Here is a 27,240-nt window from a genome sequence, read left to right as displayed (position 1 = left end):
AGGAGGATTGCTTGAGCCTACAGGTTCAAGGCTGCCATGAGCGGAGATCAGATCACTGCACTCCAGCCTAGGCAACAGAGCAAGACCCTGCCTCTTAAAAATATATTCTCTTTAGGAACTGGTTTTAGGAAACAGGCATGCATCCTATAGTTATCATGTGAGGGAGGTGCTTCCAGCCCATTTTCCTGACAACTCTAACTCCATGCTTTTCTTGGCAGTACTTCCTCTCCAGACACACCTCTGCATCAACCCAAGATGACTTAAGGAAAGAACAAGTTAACAAATCTCCAAATATGGAGGGAGAGCAAGAATGAAGTATTTCTAAAGAGACTCCACCTAAAGTTTCATGCCATAGAAATGATTATAAAAACTATGTTCCCAGCTTGGGCAACATTGTGAAACCCCGTCTCTACTAAAAACTGAAAAATCAGCCACACATGGCAGCGTGCACCTAATAGTCCCAAGCTACGCAGGAGGCTGAGGTGGGAGGATCACCTGAGCCCGGGAGGCAGAGGTTGCAGTAAGCTGAGATTGCACCACTGTACCCCAGCCTAAGAGACGGAGCAAGACCCTGTCTCAAAAAATAAAAAATAAAAAACCTTGTTTGATGGTTCTGGAAGTATTTCCAAAAAGAAGCTATTTGTATTGTAAAATGCACACAAGTAGGCACACATAGATACTGTAAAGGAAAAACAATGAATAAAAGCAGCACAAGATCTCTTAATGTTTATGGACATTGAGTAGCTACAGCCACATCAGTCTCCTGAAGCAAGAAATGCCTCATGGCTCTTGACAATAGGAGAAATACTGGTTGACCTAGCAGTGGCTTTGAACGTCAAAGATATCTGAGCCTGACACCAATTAGCTATAAAAATGACACCTATAAACCACAGGACACTGTAGGTGATTTAAAGCATGGGCTTTCTATAAGACAAACTGAGGTGAGCTCTGCCTTTTAGAAGTTACAAAATTCTAACCAAGTGACTTAACTTCCATAGGTGATAACAAGACAGATGTCCTCAAAACTTACAACAACCACATGCAATATGATAAACAGCATCCTCAACTTGCGTGCCCCTTGCAGACACACAACCCAGCAAGGTCTTTTAAGAAGTAAAACAGGCTGGGTGCAGTGGCTCATGCGTGTAATCCCAGCACTTTGGGAGGCCGAGGCAGGATCAGCTGAGGTCAGGAGTTCAAGACCAGCCTGGCCAACATGGTGAAACCCCGTCGTCTCTACTAAAAATACAAAAAATTAGCTGGGCTTGGTGGCAGGCCCCTGTAATCCCAGCTACTTGGAAGGCTGAGGCAGGAGAATCACTTGAACCCAGGAGGCAGAGGTTGCAGTGAATCACTTGAAGGAGGCAGAGGCTGCAGTGAACCGAGATCACGCCACTGCACTCCAGCCCGGGCGACAGAGCGAGACTCTGTCTCAAAAAAAAAAAAGAAAAAAAGAAAAAAGAAGCAAAACAGATGCAGAACAGATTCTTCCTATCTTCAGTGACCTGAAATTAGACCACTGTGTAACCAAATATGTTATAGCTCAATTTGAAACTTCAAGTGAAGTCAGTAATATCCTAACATTCAAGATTAGAAGAGAATTTTTTTAAAATTCTGAGCCATCTAAATCAAAAGCAGTAAAGCCTAATCACAGTATTACATCAAGTGCTAAACTATGTGCTTAATCTTTTCCAAAATTAACATTGGCCAGATAAACCAGACTTGCATTTTGCCAGATATATACCTCTGAGGGGCCCCAAACATACACACACACACACAGACGCGCGCGCGTGCGCGCGCGCCTATGAGAGGGCTCAAATATACATCTATGTACCTATAAAAGACCCTGAACTTTAGGTTTGAACAATTCCACCAGTCATTTGGCCAAATTTCCTACCTTCAGTGTCTCAGTCCAACAATTATTCAGACAACAAGCATTTGCTATGCATTTATGGAGCTAATACTGCAAGCTAGACATACTGTTTTTGCAATTTCTGAGTAAAGAGAAAACAGAAAAAAGATTCACTTTCCACACTCAAAAGAGCTCATCCACTCTGGCAATTGTATTAAAGAACGGTAAAGGTTACAGACTTCAGGGTGAGAAAGATCCGGGTACAAATGCCAACTCCAACTTAGCCTTGGCATATCCATTAACCTCTCTGAGCCTCAAGTTCCTCAGGAATAAAGTGGGATAATAAGATGACCCACTTTTCGGCACTGCTCTGAGGCCTAACGACTTAGATCTCAAAATGGCTCCAAATAAACAGAGTTTCCCTAGCTGCATTCTACCAAGGTGACCAAGTCACCCGTTAGCTCATCTTCACTGCAACTCTTGCTTTTCATCATTTCTTAACAAACAAGTGTCTATCGAGCCAGACAGCTATGCTCAGCGGCCTCTGCACACTTTCTTCTCCTGGTAAGTGTTCCCACCATTCCCTCTCTGGATCACCTTTCTTTTTTGTCCAACTCCATCCCTCTCTTTTTTCACACTTCCACCAAAACATCTTTTTCAGAACCTCTATTTGGATCCAATCCTTCCCTTTTTTGTATTCATCCTGTCCTTGCCCCTAGAATCCACGTAAGCATGTCAGAAAACAGTGTTAAAAGTTAAGGACACAAATCCAATTTACTTACAGGTAAGTTCCTTTCTCACAATAATGAATTAAGGCAAAGCTACAAACTACACCCCCAAAACAGTACAGTCAAGTAACAACTCTGTGCTCAAGGCTGTAAGGAGAACAGACGAAAGACGGAATGAACGAAGGAAAATCCACCCCTACCACTGAAAAAAACAATCGTTGGCCAACAGTGTTGTTTTTAATGTATGAACAAGAGTACATGCTATAGAAAAAGGCAGCTGCCAACAGCCGGGCATGGTGGCTCACTCCTGTAATCCCAGCGCTTTGGGAGGCTGGGGCAGGTGGCTCACAATGTCAGGAGTTCGAGACCAGCCCAGCCAACATGATGAAACCCTGTCTCTACTAAAAATACAAAAATATTAGCCGGGCGTGGTGGCAAGCACCTGTAATCTCAGCTACTTGGGAGGCTGAGGCAAGAGAATCCGGGAGGCGGAGGCTGCAGCGAGCCGAGACTGTGCCACTGCACTCCAGCCTGGGCAACAGAGCGAGACTCCCTCTCAAAAAAAATGAAAAAGGCAGTCGCCACTTGCATTGTCTTTTTGCCGCCAGCTTTTACACTTACCCAATAAACATGCATAGCTCACTTCTCATTGACTCTACTCATTTAATTAATTGTTTTGCCAATGTCTGAACAAAGATTTTTTTCTCACAATGACATTCTCTAGAAAGCATCGCATTTTACAATGAGGAACGCCTTGGCCAGACACAAGAGACGCTAATGTATCAGATTTGCCTCTATGGCTCCTACTGTAGCAGGCCCCGCCGGGCGTGCCTCACAACCCCACTGGCCACCTTCACTAAAGGCTACTGTCACCTATTTAGGGCTAAGAACAAGAACAACCTGCCCTCCACAGCTGATTAGACCAGGCCCAGTGAGATTTTTGGCCTTGAGAACTGCAAGTAGGACAGAGGACTACAGGTGATGTCCACTAGTATTTAAAATGAGGACATGGAGACACAGGAGCTGTGGAACAGCATTGTTTGCCCATGTGTATAGGAAAGAAGTTCTACTAAGGGGGAAGCAAAAGAGACAACCAAGGGCATGTGGTCCTCAAAAGAATGCGGAGTAAGCTTAGTGCAAGATGACGCTTGAGTTCTTGATGTCAGGTCCTCCTGACAGCTGCTAACCCTGGGCCTCAGAATGAGCTGCCTTTCTTACTGCATAGCTTGATCATGTCCTACAAATCATGCAAACTCTAAACAATCTAGTCTTTCAGAGCCTTCTCGTATGAACTTTGCCAGGCAAGGAGCTACTGCCTCTCCCAATGCACACCCCTCACCTCAGCCACCTGGGCCACGGGGGCCCTTAGTCACCACTCCACGTGAAGGCTGGGTGAAGTTGGCTCCACTTCAGGCTGCAGTTATCCAGTGATCACTGGAACTGGTAGCTCATATGGTCTTCATTCATTCACCAACTCACTCATTCATTCCATGGTAGTCCTTCAGGGGGGCCTCTCCTATCAGCACCACAGATCACAGATCTTTCGGACTGCCGACTCCTGCCATCATGCACTTGTGCATGGCCATCTGTCCTGCATCTGTATGTGTTCCCGTCCTTGCCTATTTCACCGGACTTGTGCCCATCATCTTTGGCCTTCTGATGTCCTCTGAAGGTCTACCTGCCCAGTGGTTTTTTTTCGTTTTGTTTTTTTTGTTTTTTGAGATGGAGTCTTGCTCTGTCGCCCAGGCTGGAGTGCAGTGGCTCAATCTCAGCTCACTGCAACTCCTGCCTCCCAGGTTCAAGTGATTCTCCTGACTCAGCCTCCCGAGTAGCTGGGAATACAGGTGCATGCCACCACACCTAGCTACTTTTTGTCATTTTAGTAGAGACTGGGTTTCACCATGTTGGCCAGACTGGTCTCGAACTCCTGACCTCTATTGATCTGCCCACCTCAGCCTCCCAAAGTGCTGGGATTACAGGTGTGAGCCACCATGCCCAGCCAACCTGCCCAGTCTCTGACTCTTTAACTTACCCTGACTCTTGGCATGCTATGGCAACATTCTGCCCTAGCTACATTCTAAACTCACCCCCCAACTGTGACTAACTTCCATAGTTCCACTTCCTTAATCCAGGGCTGGCCCCACAGCCTTGACCATCCTTAGGACACACCCAACCTTGTCCCTATTCTTCCAAACCCCACTCCACTCCCCTTCCAACAATCTGTGATTCCATAAGGGCCACACTCACAGGCCCAGAGCCGATACTGTCACCATGCCAGGCACAGGATTCTGCACAGCACAGGGAGTTGACAGACTTAGCCAACGATTAATAAATCCAATTCAATGTGCCAGATTCATATAACACAGAACTCTCAGTGCCCAGATGTCCAGTAAGATCTAAATTTCAACTAGAATTTCTGTGAAATGGCAGACTTTCTTGTAGAGAGATGGGGAAGTTAAAACTGAACTCATGCAACAGACATTTATTTATTGCTATAGCTGATTTAATCAATGTGCCTTCCCAAAGTAAAATAAACCCACTAAGTAAAATTCTCCAGTCTCTTACATAAGAGTTTAAACATATAACACAGTGAACTCCTTCCTGCAACTCAATCTCCTGTTTGGTCCAGGCCCCAAGGCAACCTTCCCCAGGACAGCTTCACCCAAGGACCCAATGGAGGCTGTCTCCATCACGTGCTGGAGAGGTGATGTGACTAGCCGTTTTCCAACACTGCTACATGAAGTGGCTCTTCTAACCCCCATTCTAAGGAAAACTCCCAAGTCACCTCTATTCCTCATCAGGCAAGGGGGCAGAAACGGTGGCAAGCTAACTGCCTTCAGTCCGCATCTCTCACTGGATACTGAATCCGTGAACCAAACACAGTCACTTTTCTTTTCTGCTTTTTTTTTTTCTCGAGACAAGGTCTCACTCTGTTGCCCAGGCTGAAGTGCAGTAGTGTGATCCTAGCTCACTGCAGCCTCTAACTCCTGGGCTCAAGTGATCCTCTTGCCTCAGTCTCCTAAGTAGCTAGGACTACGGGTGCACACCACCACAGCCAGCTAATTTTATTTCTTGTAGAGACGGGGTTTACCATGTTGCCCAGGCTGGTCTCAAACTCTTGGCCTCAAGTGATCTTCCCACCTCAGCCTCAGCCTCCCGAAGTGCTGGGATTACAGGCGTGAGCCATTGCACTAGGCCCAAAGTCACTTGTCTGTGCTGACCTAAGGCCTGACAGTCTTCATGAAGTCATAACAGGCACCTTTGCCCCATCTCCTGGATGCAATCACAATATTAAAATTCTTTTCCATCTGATCCGACTACAAGTGTCAAAGGGATCACAATATCAAAGGTGGAGTAATGCAGAAATGTAGGGAGAGGAATAAACCCCGGATCCATTCAGATCCTGAGTACTCAGAAATTAGCATTCATGCCAGAACTGGGCATCTGTGATCAAAAAAAACAGTCCTGGCCCCCATGTCTGCTCCCTGCTAGCATCACATGCCAAGCTAGAGGGTAAGTCCCTGTGGTGTCAGGGAAGGCCTGGAGAATCTTATCGCTTTGGAAGCAGAGAGGAAGCAGGTCCGAGACCAAGGGAGGAGCAGAGAGCCTTGCTACTCAGAGCGTGACAGGCCATGAACCAGCAGGGTCAATGGCACCAGGAGGCTACTTAGAAATGCAGTCTTGGGCCCATCCCAGCCCTACAGAATCATTATCTGTATTTTAACAAGATCCCCAAGTGAGGCTGGGCGCGGTGGCTCACGCCTGTAATCCCAGCACTTTGGGAGGCCGAGGCAGGCGGATCACGAGGTCAGGAGATCGAGACCATCCTGGCTAACACGGTGAAACCCCGTCTCTACTAAAAAATACAAAAAAAATAGCCGGGCATGGTGGCGGGGGCCTGTAGTCCCAGCTACTCGGGAGGCTGAGGCAGGAGAATGGCATGAACCCGGGAGGCAGAGCTTGCAGTGAGTCGAGATCGCGCCACTGCACTCCAGCCTGGGCGACAGAGCGAGACTCTGTCTCAAAAAAAAAAAAAAAAAAAGATCCCCAAGTGATTTGTATGCAAACTAAAGTGTGAGAAATACACTCTAGACGACAAGGGCTCCCGAGAGGTACGGAACACCAGCAGCAAACTGGAGCTTTTACACGGAAAAGATGTACAAAGTGGTAGAAACAGAAAAGAATTTCAAAGCTGGCCAGACCCTGGTTCAAATCTAGGGTCGATCACCTACTAGTGGAGCATTCTTCAGCTGGTCACTCAAGCTGTGAGTCTCAACAGGAATGTGAAGTATAACCTTACAGGGGACAGTAAGTATAAGGCATCCAGCACACAGCAAACCTGTGATTAATACTGGTTCCCTTTCCATAATGAAGCAAACACCAACCCAGTGTGGCTGTGTAGACCTGTGATGGAGACAGGTGAATTAGGAACACCTGAGAGAGAAAAAGGGGCCAAACTAGCACTATCTTTGTTAACAGAAGGAGAGACTCAATGTTATCAACAAATATGAATACTGCAGGGCACCAGAAAAATTTCATTGCTAAATTTATTTGAATGTCCACCCACCATTCCAGAACAGCATTGTCCAAGGGAAGTATAACAAAAGCCACATATCTAGTTTTACATTTTCTAGCAGTCATATTTTAAAAATAGGAAAAAAAGGACTTGGCACAGTGGCTCATGCCCATAATCCCAACACTTTGGGAGCCTGAGTGGGAAAGATCACTTGAGTCCAGAAGTTTGAGACCAGCCTGGGCAACACAGCAAGACACTCATCTCCAGGAAAAAAAAGTTTTAATTTTTTGAAAAAGAGAAAAAAAGGGGGGGGAAAGGTGAAATAGCCAAAATGTTATGAATTCAACATGTAATCAATATAAAAAACAAGATATTCTGTTTTTTTTCATTACATCTTCAAAACCTGATATGTATCTTATACTTACAGCTTATTTCAATTAGGATTTGCCATATTTCAAGTGCTCAGTAGTCATATGTGGCTAGTGGCTACCACACTACTGAACAGAGTAGTTCCAGAAATAAAATAATTATTCATAGATCCTTCTCCACTCACCCTTCTATCACCCCCAAATCCCAGTGTGCAGAATATAAGTATCTAGGCATGGTCAAACAAACATGGGAAGCGAAGTGCCGGGGGAAAGGGTCAGAATATAGGCTTTTGCTAACCTGGCATATTTTCACCATCAAGTTTTGTTTTGTTTTAAACTTTGGTCAACGTAAATTGCACCCACAGACAACCTAAAGTACAGCCACTCAGTGGAAAATTTTTCCAGAAGCAAAAAAATGTTCAAGTACTAGATTACAAATACAAAATTCAGGCCAGACGCAGTGGCTCACGCCTGTAATCCCAGCACTGTAGGAGGCCAAGGCGGGTGGATCGCCTGAGGTCAGGAGTTCAAGACCAGCCTGACATGGTGAAACCCAGTCTCTACTAAAAAAACAAAAATTAGTTGTGCATGGTGGTGGGCGCCTGTAACCCCAGCTACACAGGAGGCTGAGGCAGAAGAATCGCTTGAACCTGGGAGGCAGGGGTTGCGATGAGGCGAGATCGCGCCATTGCACTCCAACCTGGGCAACAAGAGCAAAACTATCTCTCAAAAAAAATAATAGAATAAAATATAAATAAATAAATACAAAATTCAGACAAGATTCTCCAACCACAAATGAAAGTAGAGCCAAGTAGGAACAAATACACTACCCTTGTGTCTACTTCACCCACTTTTAACCTGATATAGGGCAGCTGTAACTAAAACTCTAGCGACAAGGAGGAGACACACAGTCTGTTTTCATGGTCAAAAACAAATATACTTGCCAATGAGGTAAGGCAGGACAGGAGACAATACCCTCCAAGAAAGAAAAAAAAAGTCCTGGGACTAAGGCTACTCTCCCAAAACAGAGACCAAAGACCACAAAACAACAGCTAAGATTGTAGGAAGGGCTCACCACATATTCTGCTAAACACTTTATATATGCATTTAATCCTCCTAACAACCCTCAGGAAACGTATGGTTTAGAATTTACATAACCTGTTCAAGGTCCCGCAGCTAGTAAGTGGCAAAACACAGGTTTACATCACTGACAGGCAATCAGGTTTATATCATTGAGAGCTGGGCAAAGGCAAGTGAAAATCTCCGTGGCCTTTATCACTCAGATTTCACCAGAACACAAAGTAAAATCAGTTTTCAAATTACCTCTCCCATTCTTGCTAGGTTAAATCAGCAAAACTGGCCAGGTGCAGTGGCTCACCCCTGTAATTTAGGAGGCCGAGGTGGGTGGATCACCTGAGGTCAGGAGATAGAGACATGGTGTTACCCCGTCTCTACTAAAACTACAAAAAATTAATGAGCCAGGCATGGTGGCAGGCGCCTTTAATACCAGCTATTTGGGAGGCTGAGGCAGGAGAACTGCTTGAACCCAGGAGGCAGAGGTTGCAGTGAGCCAAGATTGCGCCATTGCACTCCAGTATGGGCGACAGAGCAAGACTTCATCCCAGAAAAAACAAAAAAAAAAATCAGCAAAATCATCAAAGACCAGCTTCTCAACAAGTACCTCGGTAAAGCTTAACTTAATCAAATCGTGTTTTCAGGTTCACATAAAGATTATAAATAGGAGGAGGATTAAATACCATCAAAACATAGTTGGGTGCAGTGGCTCATGCCTCTGATCTCAGCACTTTGGGAGGTCAAGGAAGGCAGATCACTTGAGCACAGGTGTTTGAGACCAGCCTGGGCAACATAGAGAGATCCCTTCTCTACAAAAAATAAACAAAATTAGCCGGGCGTGGTGGCATGTGCCTGTGGTCCCACCTACTCAGGAGGCTGAGGTGGGAGGCCAAGGTAGGAGGATCACTTGAGCCCTGGGGGTTAAGGCTGCAGTGAGCAAAGATCGCAGCACTGCACTCCAGTCTGGGTGACACAGTGAGACCCTGCCTCAAAAAAATAAAACATAAGATAAATTTTAGGCCGGGTGTGTTGGCTCACGCCTGTAATCCCAACACTTTGGGAGGCCAAGGTGGGCAGACCACAGGGTCAGGAGATTGAGACCATCCTGGCTAACATGGTGAAACCCCATCTCTACTAAAAATACAAAAATTAGCCGGGCGTGGTGGCACATGCCTGTAATCCCAGCTACTCAGGAGGCTGAGGCAGGAGGATCGCTTGAACCCGGAAGGCGGAGGTTGCAGTGAGCCGAGATCACGCCACTGTACTCCAGCCTGAGCGACACAGCAAAACTCGGTCTCAAAAAAAAAAAAAAAAAAAGATAAATGTTGGAAGGCAGAGAGAAGGTAATGATGAATGCGGTCTTGGGCTAGGACTATAGTGCTGGGTTCCAGTTCTAAACCTGCTATTGGTTACCTGATGGCCCCACCCTCCAATGTGGGCTCACTGTAGAAAATGAGATAACTACAAATGTGTGAAGTACTTCCAGCTATGGGGTCCTTTAAAACAGAGGGCTTTGAATTTTCTAACCTTTTTAGGTTTTTCAACTATCTAATTCTTACTATTGAAATCCCTAGAAAGAATTTGTTCCTCACAAAAGAAAATGATAAAATCAATACCCATTACTAGCCCCGGGAGTCAGCCTTGGGGAAAGGAGGAGTTTGTGTCCCAAAATGCAAAGGCTGATGGTAAGAAAACAGTTCAAGAACCACAACACCCTGATTTTATCTTTAGGTCTCTACGGATCACTCAAGATGTCTAAAAGCTCTAATTATGTAAAGCTGTAATAATAACTGACTGAAAACAGAAGAATACAAAATCTGCATTTGGGGCCCCTGAAGACCATCCTTAAAGAGTGATCCTTCATAAGGAATATGTGAGACAGCTAAAAAAGCCGCTCTGCGTCTGTCTAAAAATTACTTATTTCAGTCTCCAGATTTAGATTAAACAGAATTTGCTCTCCCTCATTATAAAACAGCCAGAATATAGAACTTCCTGCCGTAGAAGATGATTCAAAGAATTCTTTAAACTGTGTTTATTTATTGTTGGAACAAAAGATTCTTCTCGGCACCACTTTCAATTTGCTTTGATTTTCTCAGCCTTTTCAAAGAATACATAAAACAAATACATCTTTCTAGCCCTTCTCCCCTCCAATCTGTATCCTCACCCCAGTGCCCAATAAAATAAGTCTTTTCAACATGCTATTTCTAGAGATGTCTCTGGTGCAAATACAGATGCCCTGCTCTCTGTGCTGACTACAATCAGGAAAATCTGGCTAAATACAAAGGCCCTGAGTGTACCTCAAACTTCTCCACTGCATATTCTCACGCTGGCAGTCATCAGCTATCACCTCCAACGTGAACGGCGCCAGTGTCTTTGCTGTTTAGCACCTGCTGTGCCCTCTCTGGGCACCTCCACACCCTGAAACAGCTTCCATGCTCACCCCTCAGTCCACCAACTGTGCTCCCCCAAGGCAGAACAGCACAGTGAGAAGGAGCATGTTTCAAATCCTGTTTCCACTTCCACTTACGAGCTGGGAGGGTCTCTGTCTGTTTCCCCACTGGTACCACAGGGAAAAACATGTACAGCTCCTCTCATCATTTCGGTATCAAATGAGGTAACATAATAGCTGCTGCGGTGGTGCATGCCTATAGTGCCAGCTACTTGGCTGCTTGGGAAGCCGAGGCAGGAGGATCCCTTGAGCCAAGGAGTTCAAGTCCAGCTAGTTTGAGTCCAGTCTGGGCAACATAGCAGGACCCCACCTCTAAGAAAAGGTTTAAAAATCAGAAAAATGGGATAACAGACGTAAAGTGCCATCACCTACTGCAGCATCTGCAGGTTTTAGCTACATTTTCTACCTTCCTGGGAATCTTCTGCCCTCCAACTTGCTAAAGCACAGGTTCTAAGTTCTTCAGCCACCCCTGCCGCTTCGTTTATGGTTTTTACTACGTAAGCCACTATCTTAGGGGACCCAAACCCAACCCCTTTTAAAACACCTTTCTTCTATCCTCTCTGTTTTATGTTCATTACTACCAATCTTGACCTCCAGCCCAAGCAACCCTCCTAAATTCCAGACTCACAGAGCCAGAGGCAATTGGAGCCCAAAACTGAACTCACTGTATCAAGTCCCTCCACCTCCACTCTTCCAAATCTATTCTGCCTTCGGAATTTGCTATCTCAAAGACAGAACACCCAGTCTCCAAGCAACCCCCAGACAGCCACCTAAGAAGCAGCCTTACTCCTCCAATCAGGCACTACCTGGCCCCTGAAGCAGCCCCCACCTACCACTCCATCCCCACAAACAACACCTGGGATGAAAGACCCTCATCCTTTCTCTCCTGGATTGCCGGTTCCCTCTTTGGCCTCCCTACCTCCAGCCTGTACAGCCTCTATTCCAACCTCCATGGGGCTGCCACAGGACCTTTGTAACGAAAGGTCCGTCTTTTCTGCCTACACAGAAGTCCATCCTCAAGGCACTGCACCAAAAGGCCTCATCAGGTGACCCTCAACTGCCTTCCAGCTCCATCCCCTCGCACACCCACACCCCACTCGAAACACCAAGCTCTCCCCAGACCTTTCCACGTGTGCTGCATGGACTTAGATGCTCTCCCAGGCTCTGACTGCCTCACATATTCTTACCAGTCTTTCACAGCTCCTCTGTGGACGCTTGGCATGAGGCGGCCTATTCACATTCCTATCATAGCTTCTGGGGGCTCCTTCCACTAGATTTTTCTCCCTGGGGCCCTTTTCCCTCTGCACTCCTGTGCTTAGCACAATGCCCAGTGCTTAAACACTCAGTAAGCATCTGTTAAATGACAAGGCAATCCCCAGGTTAACATCATGTCCCACTTCTTGGGCTCCCCTCCATCTGTACCACCATTACCTTTGTCTGTTCTTCCCAATCCTGAAAGCTATTTTATCCTTAAAAAAAAAAAAAAAAAAAAAACAACCTGGGCTGGGCACAGTGGCTCACACCTGTAATCCCAGCACTCTGGGAGGTTGAGGCGGGCGGATCACAAGGTCAGGAGTTCGAGACCAGCCTGACCAACATGGTGAAGCCCCATCTCTACTAAAAATACAAAAAATTAGCCAGGCATGGTGGCACGCACCTGTAATCCCAGCTACTCAGGAGGCTGAGGCAGGAGAATCGCTTGAACCTGGGAGACAGAGGTTGCAGTGAGCCGAGATCACGCCACTGAACTCCAGCCTGGACAACAAAGCGAGACTCCAACTCCAAAAAAAAAAAAAAAAAAAAACAGATCTTCCAAAATCTTCCAAACAAATCTTCCAAAATCTCCCCTCTTCACTGCTTTCACTGAATATTGCTTAAACATTTTCAGTTCCTAAAAATACATAAAAGCTGAATAACTTCAAATATTATTAATAAAATGACCCCAATACTTTGGCAGTCCATAAATCAAATTATAATTCAGAAGTTAATAACACACAACTAAGATTTCAACAATGATCTGTGGTATCACTTTCCAAAATTTCTATTCTATTGTTGTTTTGTGTTTTATTGAACCTGAATGTAAAAATTAGACTGCCAAATGTTTCCGAAGAGATTAAAAATAATTGCTGCAGGAAATAAAGGATATTTTACCACTTGCAGTTTTCTGTTTCCACTTTTGGCTAATTCTGATTAGTTCAGGGTTACAAAGCATGTCATCCCATTAGAGAGTGTTCTATTATCATGATCATCTCTCGTGTGTCTTCAGACAATGTTCACTACGATCTCTTTCTCGGCGAGTCTTAACTGCAGCTGTCAACGCTAGATCTTTTTTGTGAGTTACAAGTTGGATTTATTTTCATTCAAACTTCTAACTCTTATGTATGTACCATGTGATCCAGCCACCCCAATTCTAGGAACAGTCATGCAACGCAAACCAACATTTTGGTCAACAATGGCCCACGTACACACAGTGATCCCATAAGATTATAATACCATATTTTTCCCGTACCTTTTATGTGTTTAGATTGGTCAGAAACACAAATAGTTACCACTGTATTAAAACTGCCTACAGTATGCAGTACAGTAAGATGCTGTATAGGTTTACAACCTAGGAGCAATGGGCTACACCATATAGCCTAGGTATATAGTAGGCTATAGTAGGCTACACCATCTAGGTTTGTGTAAGTACATTCTATCTTTGCACAATGACAAGACTGTCTAATGATACATTTCTCAGAATGTACCCCTGCATTAATCGACACGTGACTGCATTTAGCAAAAAGAAATAAAAACTTATGTTCACACAAAAACCTGTTTCACACAAATGCTTACAGCAACTTTACTCACAATTAGCAAAAACTGGAAACAACCCTAATGTCCTTCACCCAGCAAATGAATAAACTGTGGTACATCCATACAGCAGAATACTACTCAGCAATGACAAAGAACCAAGTATCGAAACACAGAGAAACATGGATGAATCTGAAACGCATCTTGCTATCTGACATTCTAGAAAGCCCAAACTCTAGGACGAGAGAACCATGTCCCTATAGTGAGACAGTGGATGCCAGGGGTAGGAGAGGCTGACTACAGAGGGGCGGCAAGAGGAAATGCTCTGGTGTGATGGGCCTGTTCTGCTTCGCCCGTGGTGGTGGATAAGTGACTCTACACATATGCCAAAACCCACAGAACGGTACACCACAGAGTAAATTTTCCTGTACACAAATTTTAAATTTTTTTAAGCTAATTCTTTAACCATGACTTAGTTAAAGATCAGCCCTAAAATAAAATGAACACGAAGGTGTGTGTTTCCATAATGTTTATCAAGTCTGTAGTTCTTGTTCTGATGGTCCTGGGATTAGGAGTACATGATGGGGAATGGAGTCAGTTTCCCTTGTGTTGGCAACCTCTGCTTCACCTGTTAACAGCCAGCTGGAGTTCTACCAAGGATACGGTAAAGGTTGTTCAAAGCCAACTGGAGAGCGACTGTATTGCACGGAAAAGTCCAAGAGAACATTTCAAGAGAAGAAATAAATGGGAGATGGGAGAACACAAACCCTAAAATTCTAACTCACAGTCAAAGGCATCAGAAGATTCTACTGACAAGTTGGCAACCTCCTTCCTAGACCTTCCTTAAAATGAGTCAAGGTGGGTGGGGGCAGGGAATCGCTGAGAGAAAAGAACAGAAGAAAAAGAGAGCGTGTGTGCTCCTGAACCAGGTTGCGCTGAGAGTTCCAAACACCCTGGCTCCAGTGTTCTTTAACATGGAAAAAATGATTGAATAGGCAAAGGATAAAAACAAGAAGGGTTCAACACCCAGTTACACTTTCTTTCCAGTGTGCTCTCCTCAGCCAAACCCACACATTCCTGCTCCGGAGGGGATGGACCGCAGGTCGTCTTTAGAGCCTGCTACAGGCACTGCCGACCAGGGGCTGGGCTCTGGGCTCCACGGTGACAGGAACTGCAGGCACCGGGTCCCCCCTGGCTCTCCCAGGAAGGAACATGCCCTAGCTCATCCTGCACACTCACATCCACATTCCCCAGCCCAGAAGACTCTCCCCACTCCAGGGAGGCCTGGGCCTGCTACATTGTTATACCTCAGCATGAGATCAACACCTGAGACAAGCTCCAATCCAAGATGAGCTCATGACTCCCGCCCCAGAGAACCAGCTCTCCAACCCTCAGCAGCATTTGCAGCTGGAAAGATTGGTCTAAATGCAAAACAAATGCTATCTTCAGGAGACTTCAAGGGGGAGGGAGAGGAACAAAGCTAAAAACCACCAAGACAGAAAACCAGAACATTCCATGACATGCAATGCCCTACGAAGAGGTTTTTTAAAACATATTCGCACTGTATAGCCGTGGCAAGGGGTTAGCTGTCAAAGTTAAACAAAAATCACTGACTCTCAAAAGACAAGAATGAAGGACTAAATAATAAAACAGCTTATTGTATTAAGCTAATTAAGGTTTATCATATTAGCCATCTGAGTTTTAGTTGACATCAGAAACGCAGAAGCAGCACACCACGCGCAGCGTGGATTCGGATCTGCTTTGCAAGCATATTCCTGCCACACTCATACACAGAACCTCTGGCAGTCAGAAATGATGGAGAATTGAAAACCAATTTTAGCACAGTGATTTGTAAAGAATTTTGTTCCATCATGTAAGCTATTTACTGGTATATCCGTCCAAGATTACATTTATCTCTATTAAATACTCCATAAAGTATCCTGAGCTAACCATGCACTCTTGTTTCCCTTTTGCCAGTTTTATCACATAGTGGATGTTCTGTAGCCAAATGAAAAACATTTTAACAATAAAACCCTTGCATACTTGACGTCCTTCACTGCAGATATCCTGCCCACCAACTGCCAGCACACAACTTAACCAATTCCAAGATCCTCGGCACTGCTGAAAAGCCCCTATTCTGCTGAACACGGAGAGGAACAAAATGCCCACTTCGAAGTAGGGGAAAATTTTATTTTCAGTCATGTCTTCTATGGGCTCCTCTTGACTGTACTTTTACCAAAAACCAGCAGAAAGGCAGGACCAGTTCTATCTGTTGTTGAGATCACACTGGATCCCATTCTGGAGCTGCTGGTTTCCTGTTTGGGGAAGTTGCAGTTCTTTTCACAAGGAACCCAAGGCAAAATGTTGAGTGTTCTCCTGCAAGCCCCCTCAGCCTTTGTTCTTCACTTTGCTACTCTCCTCACTCCTTCCTTCTCTCCTCTCCTCTCCAACCTCTGGTTTTGGAAGGTGCATTAAAATGCCTGCTCAAACCTAACTGCGATCTTTAAAGGCATCAGACATTTTCTACCACCCATTCCAGTACAGCTTTGAGTTAACAGGCATCTTTTCACAGATGAAGCCAGACTACCCGGCTTCCCCCTGGTATTGCATTAGTATTCCACATTAAACATATGCCACAAAGAATCCAATGGCGAACTCACCGTCAACAGCCCCCAAAATCAATAAAAGACATTCCACCACTTGAGTCGGAGTGAAAAACCTTTCAGGTTAACACAAGAGAGCAAGGTAAAAGAAAGGTGATGAATGAACAAAAGGCAAATCTACCTTCAGACTCCTCAAATCCTAAAAAGGTGGCTAGGCTGCCTCGATTTGGTGAAGCCCTTCCTTTTCTTATAATCATCGGGAAAATGCCACATGTGTACTGCTTTCGTCTTATGCAAAACAGCACATTCTCCACAAGGCCCTGACGCCTACCATTCTCCACACTCGCTTCCTTCCAGGCCTGACTCTCCCAATTGCCCAGACACATGCGATTTAATGAAGGCATTCAGATTTCGCCTTGATCGCAATACCATCATAAAGTCACTCTAATCCCATTAAACTGGGATAACATTAAGAGCATTTCTTCTCCACTCTGAACCCAATTTTATCTCCTGGGTAGCAATCCACGGTCCGTCTGTGTCTAAATGGATCTGCAAATAAATATTTAAATTCATGCTCAAAACAGCGTATCTCACCTTGTGAACCTTGACCTTTTGGAAAGACTTTAGACCAATGTTCAGTTACTGTCACACGGCTGCATTCTCAGCAAATAGGAAAGGGTTAAAAGCAGCCCCAGTCAACAGGCCTACAAGGAAAAAAAAGACAGCATGTATGGCTAACAGCATCACTGGAATGCATTTATGTTCATTTCCTAGAACGATATTGTTACCTTTTGGCCTTCATAATAGTCAGAAGCATCCCCAACACCCTTTAGTAGCTTCTAAAAGAAAAAGCACAAGACAGAACATACCCTGCAAGAGAAAAAAAGCATGCAAAGTAGCATTCTCCAGCAACAAACAAACTACCATTACAAACCCCTCAGTTCATTTTGGTTTTGTTTTGTTATAAACACCGAGAAAGAGAGAGAGAGACTGCATCAACCAAGTGTCCCCACCCTAGCAAGGCACATTTTTTTCTCTAATAAGGGTCATAAATCTCAGCTCCTTGTCCATCCCTTAAGCAAAAGAAAAAGGCAGGAAAAGCCCAAGTAATCTCAGACCCTGCAAACCTGCACCTTTTTTTCCATCTTCTCTACCCAGAATCTTTTAGGGCTCCATTAGTCACGTACCAGTGCTGTGTGGTGTCTAAGTGTGCATTCACATACTGTGTAGGGATGGTACCTTCCTGCAAGCTCCTCTGCTTTTGGCTGCCATGAAGGGAGGAAGCTGCTATCCTACTGTAGTAGCTCAGTGACTGCATTGTGTTCAGGAGCTGATCTGCCTCAAACCAGTTTCAGCCGGTTCTGGTCACCCTACATAAAAAAGCTATGGCAACCCTCGCTGAGTTGCCAACAAGTCCCTGAAAATCATCAGCACAGGGGGGATCTCGCTGGGGTTTGCTCTTCCCTCTTAGGTCTTCCTGAGGAGGAGAAGGTCATCGTGTGTCCCCCCACCCCACGAGCACACAGCCTTGGAAATGCTCACCTCGCAAGCACCCCAGAGCCCCTCAGGGCCCATCCCCCCTCCCCTCCACCCCACAGCCCACCGCAGACACTGTTTCCCCCTCCTTCTCCTTCCCCCACTTACCTCCCACAACCTGGCTCAGATCTTTGTGTACGTGTGTGTCAGTGTGTGCTCTCTGTGTTGGTGGCTGACAAAGAGCCCCCAAGAAAGCGAGCTATGTGTGTCTGCTCACACGGGATGCGTCGGCTGCAGAGCCGGCCTGGCCTCCTAGCACAGTGGTGCTGGCTTGTTGACCAGGCTCCTCTCTGCTGTCACCCCCACCCCACCCAGCCCCCTCCTCCCTTCCGTCCCTCTCCTCTCTCTCCCAGCCCTGTCACCACCACCAGCAGCCCCCCAGTCTCCTCCTCCTCCTCCAACCTTCTCTTCTTTCAAGCACCTGGGGGGAGAAGTCCAAATCCCTTCACCTCGGGGGAAGAAAACTGGGGCTGTCTGGGGAGGGGGCGGGGGGCGAAGGCAGGGCCAGTGGGAGAGGGGGCACGGAGGCCTCTGGAAACGCATCTGTGCCCGGCCGGCGCCGGCGGGGGGAGTAGGAGAGCCGCGCTCACGTGGCCCCCGTCTCGTAACCTGCGGGGCCTAGCCCGGGCGGTTCCTCCTCGGCCCCCCAAGCCAGCTGGCGGGGCGCGAAGGCCGGCTGTCCCCAAGGCCAGGGTGGGACAGGCCACTGCGGGCAGGCCCAGGGGCCTGAGCCTCACGCGCTCACCCCGGCCCGCAGGAGTGGGCACGAGGGGCCGCACCCCGCCTCTGCCCGGCGCCCACCCGCGCCCCTGGGTCCGGCTGCCCTGCGCCCCTCGTTCGCCCCGGCCGCCTCCCGCCGCCCCGCACCCCCAGAGGCGCACACCCACCCCCTTCCCGGGGTTGGCCTTCGCGGCGGTCAAGCCCGGGCGTCTGGGCCGCAGCTCGGATGACCTTTGTTCAGCGCGGCGCCGCCGGCGGCTGCTGCTGTGGCTGCTGCTGCTGTCGTCGGAGCGGCGGCGGCGGCGGCTTCCATGTTACGGGCGTGTCATCTGCGTTCCCGCTGCCGGGGTCTGTGTGTGCGTGTGCGGTGGAGCGGCCTCGCCGCCGGGCCGGGCGGCGGCGGCGGCGGCGGCTCGGCCCGGGCGGCGAGCGAACAAAAGGGAGCGCGGGCGAGGGGGAGGGGGCGGCCGGTGGGGGAAGGGAGCTCCGGGACCGGGCGGCGGCAGCGCGAAGCCCCGCGGCCGGCGGGCGCCGACGCCCGGCCGCTGCGGAGCCCCGAGTCCGGCGGCGGCGAGAAGGCGCCCCGCGGACCTGCCAAGTCTCGCCCATACGGGGCCGCTGGCTCGCGGCTTCGCCCCGGGAGTGGAGCGGGGTGGTGGGGCTGGTGAGGGGGCGCAGGGAGGGCTGCTTTTTTCCAACGACATTGCGGGCTCTCACCCAGTCCTTTCCGTGGCCCCAAGCCGCGACTTACTCGAGTGGAAGGAAGCAAGGCCTCGCCAAAGATGGTTGAAAAGACCGTGAGCCTCTACCCAGGATCTTGAAGCCAAGGTGGTGGTTTGTTTTCCTCGTAATGATGGCAAATGAGTAAGAAGAGAGCACGCTATCTTCGGACAAATTAAATCTGAAATTCTCCCTGGAGGTGGAAGAAGGGGCTCTCCTCTGGTTAGTTAGTGGTTTGGAGCCCTTTTCGCCTTCAACTGAGCCACAAAAGGATGGAAGACACCCCCTGGGGTGGGGAGAAAGCCCTGGTGTAAAAGACACACGTTTGCTTTCAGAGAAAAAGCCACTGGGGCCAGATTGAAACATGGCATGTTCAGTTCATGTAGGTTTTTTTTTTTCCTTAATGGGGGAATGATATTGAGTAAACAAGATGTAATAGCTAGGTCTTTAAATTCTAGAAGGGAGATGGTGTACAAATGTAACAAGCACATATTGTACATACAGCAGGTGGTCATAGCCTGCGGAACACAAAAAGATACATATGTAAGCCCGCTAAAGGTCACGAAGGTGTATAATCGTGACCCGTGCAAGGGCGAGAGACGATAGATTTCCATTCCAGATGAGGTATGCTGTTTTCCCAGCCCCGTGTCCTCGTTCCTTTATTGTTCACAGACGTGCACTCCATTGAAAGGTTTTTAAAACCAGACAGAAACCCCCAAGTCAAGCTAATTGTGCTGACACTGGAAATAGGACAAAATGGAAGGAGCTGAAAAAATGTCACCATAACCTGTTAAAAAGGTTCACTCCTGTTTGATAGGAATCTGAAGACACAAAAATAACACTCAAGTAGCAGTGATGACCAAGCATAAGAAACATTTCTATTTTATTTTAAATTTGATTCATTGGTTAGTATTTGCAAACTGTGCTGAAAAGTTAAAAAAAAAATCTCAGTATACCTCTCTACTGCGTTAACTTCCATTGAGGAAGCCATTGTTCTCTGTGATGGGAGCACTGTATGATGTAAATTGCAAGTAGCATTTTTGCTGTTTAAGACTTTTCATGTAAATGACCCGAATTATTGTCTCACAGAAGAGTTGTTGGTCTTTAATTTCAAACAGCAAATTGTTTGGAATTGCACATAAATTGGAATACATATTTGCATATTTACACACGTTTAGAAAGACCTATGTAATCTGCAAATTTTGCCAGTCACAGCATCGCATTTATCAGCATTACAAGATGATGAAATTGAAACCCTTGTCTTCTTTTGGCCTGAAAACGGTGCCAGTACTCTGTGGGTTGGGTTTCAGCTTTACCTGGGCTTGATTTCATTTGAAAGGGAGCCTTTTTTCTTCTCCCAAAGATGGGCCTTTATTAATATGCATATAAAAACCGTATGTGCATTGAAGAGTACACTAGGACCTGCTAATGTGAAATCTTGACATGCTACACAGTTTACAATATATGGAATTTCATAATGTACATACCATGATAAATCCTAGGTTTCATGGATTTGGGATCTTTGTTTACTTAGAAGACTCTCTTGCCCCTCCCCCATTCCCTTCTTTTAAGAGTTGAAATGACAGCAAAGCAGCACTTGAATGGTTACAAGAGTTGTACTACCAAAACTAAAGTCTGAAATGCTTATCATAAAGAGCCTTCAGCTATACAACTGCCTCGTGGCTTCATCATGCCAAACACTTTTTTGAGCAGGGCTTTGTACAAAGCCCAGTGATTTAGCCGGAGCCTCGGCTGGAAGAAATTTGGTCTAGAAGCACAATTGATCATTTGCACAAATGGCAACAAATAACATTGCATCTGCTTTTAAATATCATAAACAAAAAGTAAAAGATATTTTATTGCAAGTTATCTCAGTTCTATTTTTGTAAAGAGGATTTCAGAGAAACCCCTTTGCCAGGTAGACCAGTAGTTAAAAGCAAAGCACCCGTCTTAGTCCATTTTGCAAAATCACTAAATTTCACAGCTGAAAAGACAGCATTTATTCTGGGTTGTTTTTTTTTTAAGCGGACACTACCCCTCTTCCAAAAACACAATACAAAAAGGTTCATTCTATTATTCTACATATGTAAGGCTCTCTTGTGCACCTCTCTGCTTTGAGCAACAATAGAATCAGTCACTCGACTGCAAGAATGAAATAAAACTATCATTTGAGTGCAGTCGATAAGGAAGGGCAGAACAAAGAAATCATATGATTCTTATGCCAAATAGAAACTAAAGGAATTCCAAACCCTTTGCGATTTTGTTGTTGCTGTTTTTATTGCTAACTCTCAATGTCTTGGCTTTTCCTCCAATCAGTGTATTGCAAAATCCTAGCTTTTTTCTTTAATCTTTTGTGGCTGGAAGCCGGCTTTGCAGAAGCCTGTAAATATCATCATACTTTCCCTCCAAATGCCCTTATGAAATTAGGAAATTCGTGTGTTAGGTAGAGCGCACAAAAGGTGTGTTCCTGGAGGGACAGTGGAAGGAAAAAAGGAAACACCTTTTCTTTATCTCACCATCCAGAGGCCCTGTGGAACTAACTACTAAACCGAGCAGTCTCATGCCTTGAACTACACATTTTTAGCTTGAAACCAAGCTAAGCCTAGGGGTTTATAGAGAGATTAATATATTAAATGTGTTAGCTTCTTTTTAAAGAAATTATTACACCTTTCAATCCTAGCACCATAATTTAAAGATTTGTAGCAGGGTAGCCAGCAAAGAAAAAGGAAAAAACAAAAGTCTACCTTTTCTTTTTAAGAACATCAAAATATGGATAGAATCAGGTTTTTTTATATTCAAAAACATACGCTTGAAAGAAATCATAACCAAGTTTAAATTATTATTAGCCTGCCAGAAATAGACTGTAGAGGATTCCCCTTATCCTTTGTTCGTGATTTCATAGATTTCTGTGGCAAAACCACCTCTCCTTTTCTGAACCTCAGTTTGGAAATGCCTGCAAAGGCCTTTAACCGAGAGACCCGAAGCGGGTGGGGGTTGGGCTCAGCATTGGGCATTATTTAGGAGGCCCCTCGATATTTGAATGACCTCCTAGGTCCTGGCTACTGGATGAATCCACTAATCCTTACCTCCTGCTGTCTCTGAAGGCCTAAATGCTGGAAAGCTGGCCTTGTCCAAGGAAAGAGTTGAGAAGGGTAGGGACAGAGAAAAGTGGGTAGTTTCTATGAGCCCTCCCTTCAGGAGTCAAAGGAGAGCCAGAAGTACGGGGATTGGGATCCTGGTAAAGATTCATCTGCAGAAACTGGGCCAAAGGAGAAATCTGTAGAGAACTTTATAAGATTTCCTAACCCTTTGTAACTTTTTTATATTACATCTGGGCTTCCTTAAAAGAAACTTGTGTTTGGGTTTGTTCTCTGCTCTCTAAGTCCTAGAGGAGGGGAAGAGAAAGAAGAAGAACCTAGGGAGGTATCTGAGAAAGGAAAAGGCTTAATCCTTTGAGGGCCTACCTGAAGGAGAAGGGAACACACAGGAAATGGGGACCCAGTTCCTCCTGAGAAGGAATCTCACTGGTCTCCTGCAGTGCAGACACTACCCTGAGCACTATGCATGCGCTAATATTGACTTCATCTTCCCATCCTGCCCTCATCATCCCTGCCATCACCACCACTTGGCACAATGCTTTGTACATCCCATAACTGACATTAATTATCAGTGAACTAAGGAATGGATAATGAACCCAGAGGCACCTAAAAGTAAATATGTCCCCAATTAAACCTAAGCTCTTTTGCTATTGTAGTGGATACAGTAGTGTTTTGTCTAGGTTCTCTCTTCAGAGTATACACCCTCATCCCCTAGCTGCTAAGAATATTGGCTGCCGACTACTCACAGCTGACTCCCTCACTGCAAATTGCTTTGGCCACCGTCTTGTGACAGTTCTTGGAAACTGTCTTGCCCAAGGCTACACCCACTTCCAAGAAGCAGCCAACATCTGGCTGATGTAGAGATAGAAAAACTTGGCCCTCTTGCCTTTATTTGGGCCAACTCTGAAGGGCCATCCCAGCCCCAGAGCTCCCTGTAAATTGGCTGAGGCCTCAATCACCATAGCACTGTGGGTCAACTCCTCCTTTCTAATCCTGCCTTCCTCAGTCCTTCACAATTATATCTCCAAAGATTATTCAGGGTCTGTTTCCAGCACCGCAGCCCGAGACACCCACCCACACCAGATTCATCTCCACAGTACCTGCCCTCTCAGAAAACGACCCTCATTCCCTCTCATCTGCTCCATCACCACAGGCTGGGAGGGTTCCACCTCTCAAGTGTCTATTGATCCCAATCCCTTCTCTCGGCTGACATCACGCACACACAACCTCAGGCCCATCATCCCAGTGTGGAACTGGTCACTGAGTCCTTGCCTCCAACCTGGCCAACGTTCAATGCATTCTGCACACTAAACCTTGAGGAATCTCTCCAACGATACCATCTTGTCACTCCTCTGCTCAAATGTTTCCAGATGACTCAATTGTCCTTAGAATGAGGTCCAGATTATAACTGTGACTTAGAAGTTTCTTCACGATTCGACCCATTTGCCTGCCCATGTCCCTGCCCCTCCATCCTCACATTTCAAGATCCAGGCTTGCCTTTTTGTTCTTTGAATATCACCTACTTCCTGTCACTGTCAGGCTTTCGCACATGCCGGCCCCGCTTTCTGGAAGACTCTCCTTACCCTTCACAACCTCCTCATCTAAGTCCTGTGTATTGGCCAGGTGTAGTGGCTCACACCTGTAATCCCAGCATCCTGGGAGGCCAGGTCAGGTGGATCACTTGAAGTCAGGAGTTCAAGACCAGCCTGGCCAACATGATGAAACCCCGTCTCTACTAAAAATACAAAAATTCGCTGGGTGTGAGGGCGGGCACCCGTAATCCCAGCTACTCAGGAGGCTGAGGCAGGAGAATTGCTTGAACCCGGGAGGTGGAGGTTGCAGTGAGCTGAGATCACGCCACTTGACTCCAGCCTGGGCGACAGAGCAAGACTCTGTCTCAAAAAAAAAAAAAAATCTAAAAGTTAAGTGCTCAGAACACCAGGATTAACACCTATAAGGTTTGGGGTTTTTTTTCCAATGACAAAGATAAAAGATGATCAAATACTTTAACATTTTCTGCTAAACTTAACGATGACTATTTTGAAGTCTCTTTTGAGGTTTCTTATTTAATACCAAAAGACTAGAAGTCACATGTCACTGGGAAAAGTTTCTGGAAAAACTTGGTTATTTCTGGAAAAGTTTAAAAATGAATAATAATAATTGACATATATAAACAAAAAACAAATGCTAAAATATGAAAATAATAACCAGAAAATACGGCTGCAACATAAAATACATTCGTCAGCAAACAGTTGGAAGATGCTTAGAAAATATTGCTGTAGGCCAAGTGTGGTGGCTCATGCTTGTAATCCCAGCACTTTGGGAGGCTGAGGAGGGCGGATCACGAGGTCAGGAGATCGAGACCATCCTGGCTACTAAAAATACAAAAAATTAGCCGGGCGTGGTGGCAGGCGACTGTAGTCCCAGCTACTTGGGAGGCTGAGGCAGGAGAATCGCTTGAACCCAGGAGGTGGAGCTTGCACTGAGCCGAGATTGCGCCATTGCACTCCAGCCTGGGCAATAGAGTGAGACTCTGTCTCAAAAAAAAAAAAGCAAGAAAATATTGCTGTAGATTTAAAGAAACACACATTAGAATAGATTACACAGTGTGGGAGGTTTGTGCAACTGTTGAATGCCTCTGCTTAAGGTATCTGCTTGCCCCTGTTCTCGTGATGACACACCTGAAAACACTTATTTTTTATGAACCACTAAAAAAAGTGTTTAGCAGAGAAGGTATATTATCAACAATAAATGATCTCTTTAATCAAAACATTATATCATTTTATTTAGAACAGGAACAGTAACCACGAATGGAGTAGCTTCTATACAGGAATTTAAAATTCTGGGGTTAAATTACGAAAATTCCAACACACACAAAATGTATCACCGATTCAGTTAAAATATCAAAATGCAAATTCAACACTTTCCAATTTATGTTGCAGAAACAATTGAGTGATACTGGCAAAGAGCGACTCACCACCCAAATGTCAACTAAAATCTTTTGCATAGCTGAAGGATGAGATTGAGCAATGAGCATTATGATTAAGTAAACAGTAAAAACGGCTGGGCGAGGTGGCTCACGCCTGTAATTTTAGCACTTTGGGAGGCCAAGGCAGGTGGATCATCTGCGGTCAGGAGTTCAAGACCAGCCTGGCCAACATTGTGAAACCCTTTCTCTACTAAAAATACAAAAATTACCCGGGTGTGGTGGCCAACGCCTGTAATCCCAGCTACTCGGGAGGCTGAGGCAGGAGAATCGCTTGGACCAGCGAGGCAGAGGTTGCAGTGAGCCGAGATAGCACCATTGCACTCCACCCTGGGCAACAAGAGCAAAACTCCGTCTCAAAAAATAAAAATAAAAAAGTAAATGGTAAAAATAATCTGTCTCTTCCTACTGGCAGAAAACTTTGCAAGGCATCCTCTCCCACTAGGACAGCCCTTTAAACAACCAAGTTTGAAAAAAACTAAACAGAGTAAAATCCTCAAATCATTTTATCACACTATTATGCCAATATTTCAAAAAAAAAAAGAGAAGCATATTCAATCATACCTCAAATATTAAGCATTGTAGTAAGAGCAAATTATTTTCTACTGCTAGTAAATAAAATTAAATGTTAATGGTATTGTTTAGTCCATCATTTCAATATTTTTTAATTTCTATTTTTGTATATCTTTTGTAATGTACATATTAGGATAGTACTAACTATATTTAAGCTGTAAGTTAGTTTTTATAAATTATAAGTGAATAATTGAGATGAATACTCAAAAAATTTTGAGGTGTGATCCAAAGACTACAAAGGTCACTGGGTTAGAAAAATTGTGTAAGTGGACAAGCTCAGATTTGCTCTGCACTGTAAAAATACGTCTACTCTATGGTGTCACTTCACCAACAGTCTAGACTTGGGGAAATAAAACATATGTGTCCCTGAATAAACCCATTCCAAGTATCAGATAGATAACTCAACAAAATATATCGGCTGGGCACAGTGGCTCATGCCTGTAATCCAAGCACTTTGGGAGGTCGAGGCGGGTGGATCACTTCAGGTCAGGAGTTCGAGTCCAGCCTGGCCAACATGGTAAAACCCCGTCTCTACTAAAAATATAAAAAATTAGCCGGGTGTGGTGGCGCACAACTGTAATCCCGGCTACTTGGAAGGCTGAGGCAGGAGAATTGCTTGAACCCAGGAGGCAGAGGTTGCAGTGAGCTGAGATCGTGCCACTGCACTCCAGCCTGGGTGACAGAGCGAGATTCCATCTCAAAAAAGAAAAATAAAAAAGGAAATATATCATACCCGTGCTATGTTTGACAAGGCCACATGAACAGCACAAGTAGTATATTCTCACCACACCCTTTTGGAATTTCCGTCTCAACCTCTGACCAAATGTTCAAGAGTCTACATTGCACCATTGAAAAAGAGTTCCTGGGCCAGGCACGGTGGCTCATGCCTGTAATCCCAGCACCTTGGGGGGTGGAGGCGGGCGGATCACCAGGTCAGGAGTTCAAGACCAGCCTGGCCAATATAGTGAAACTCCATCTCTACTAAAAATACAAAAATTAGCTGGGCTTGGTGGCAGGAGCCTGTAGTTCCAGCTACCGGGGAGGCTGAGGCAGGAGAATCACCTGAACTTGGGAAGCAGAGATTGCAGTGAGCCAAGATAGTGCCACTACAGTCTAGCCTGGGCGACAGAGCAAGACTCTGTCTCAAAAAAAAAAAGAGTTCCTGGGTACCCCCTTCTGGCAGAGCCTCTTTTACCATCTTGTCCAACCGAGGCATCCTACATAACA

General features: G+C 45.7%; 1 protein-coding gene across 52 annotated transcripts in view, besides 4 other annotated features; it reads right to left on the bottom strand.

The window, feature by feature from the left end:
• Positions 1 to 19,630, bottom strand: part of ZNF532 (zinc finger protein 532) — a 123,557-nt gene extending 103,927 nt beyond the window's left edge. For 8 of the 52 annotated variants that reach the window (NR_148459.2, XM_047437584.1, XM_047437592.1 and 5 more), the window contains exons 1-3: positions 19,388 to 19,630; positions 17,169 to 17,250; positions 16,975 to 17,084 (exon numbers count right to left, since the gene is read on the bottom strand). The gene's annotated coding sequence lies outside the window, so the exon portion shown is untranslated. Of the gene's footprint in view, positions 1 to 16,974; positions 17,085 to 17,168; positions 17,678 to 18,024; positions 18,196 to 18,318; positions 18,464 to 18,803; positions 19,072 to 19,387 lie in introns of those variants that run through there. The other 44 variants (XM_047437597.1, NM_001353529.2, NM_001353532.2 and 41 more) reach the window with 14 other exon arrangements.
• Positions 11,600 to 12,581: an enhancer, noted in NCBI's record as "NANOG-H3K27ac-H3K4me1 hESC enhancer chr18:56537205-56538186 (GRCh37/hg19 assembly coordinates)". NCBI's record gives its function as "activates a minimal SCP1, AML or CMV promoter by ChIP-STARR-seq in primed H9 embryonic stem cells {active_cell/tissue: H9 hESC(primed)}" and the evidence as "EXISTENCE:reporter gene assay evidence [ECO:0000049][PMID:30033119]".
• Positions 19,680 to 20,219: an enhancer, noted in NCBI's record as "OCT4-NANOG-H3K27ac-H3K4me1 hESC enhancer chr18:56529567-56530106 (GRCh37/hg19 assembly coordinates)". NCBI's record gives its function as "activates a minimal SCP1, AML or CMV promoter by ChIP-STARR-seq in primed H9 embryonic stem cells {active_cell/tissue: H9 hESC(primed)}" and the evidence as "EXISTENCE:reporter gene assay evidence [ECO:0000049][PMID:30033119]".
• Positions 20,220 to 20,761: an enhancer, noted in NCBI's record as "OCT4-NANOG-H3K27ac hESC enhancer chr18:56529025-56529566 (GRCh37/hg19 assembly coordinates)". NCBI's record gives its function as "activates a minimal SCP1, AML or CMV promoter by ChIP-STARR-seq in primed H9 embryonic stem cells {active_cell/tissue: H9 hESC(primed)}" and the evidence as "EXISTENCE:reporter gene assay evidence [ECO:0000049][PMID:30033119]".
• Positions 22,263 to 22,557: a silencer, noted in NCBI's record as "tiled region #466; K562 Repressive non-DNase unmatched - State 22:ReprW". NCBI's record gives its function as "represses a minimal TATA promoter and a strong SV40 promoter by Sharpr-MPRA in K562 cells {active_cell/tissue: K562}" and the evidence as "EXISTENCE:reporter gene assay evidence [ECO:0000049][PMID:27701403]".

The sequence above is a fragment of the Homo sapiens genome, chromosome 18 (genome assembly GCF_000001405.40).
Source record: "Homo sapiens chromosome 18, GRCh38.p14 Primary Assembly".
Lineage (NCBI taxonomy): Eukaryota > Metazoa > Chordata > Mammalia > Primates > Hominidae > Homo > Homo sapiens.
The sequence above is the reverse complement of the archived record's forward strand: the minus strand, read 5'-3'. Positions and strand labels throughout refer to the sequence as shown.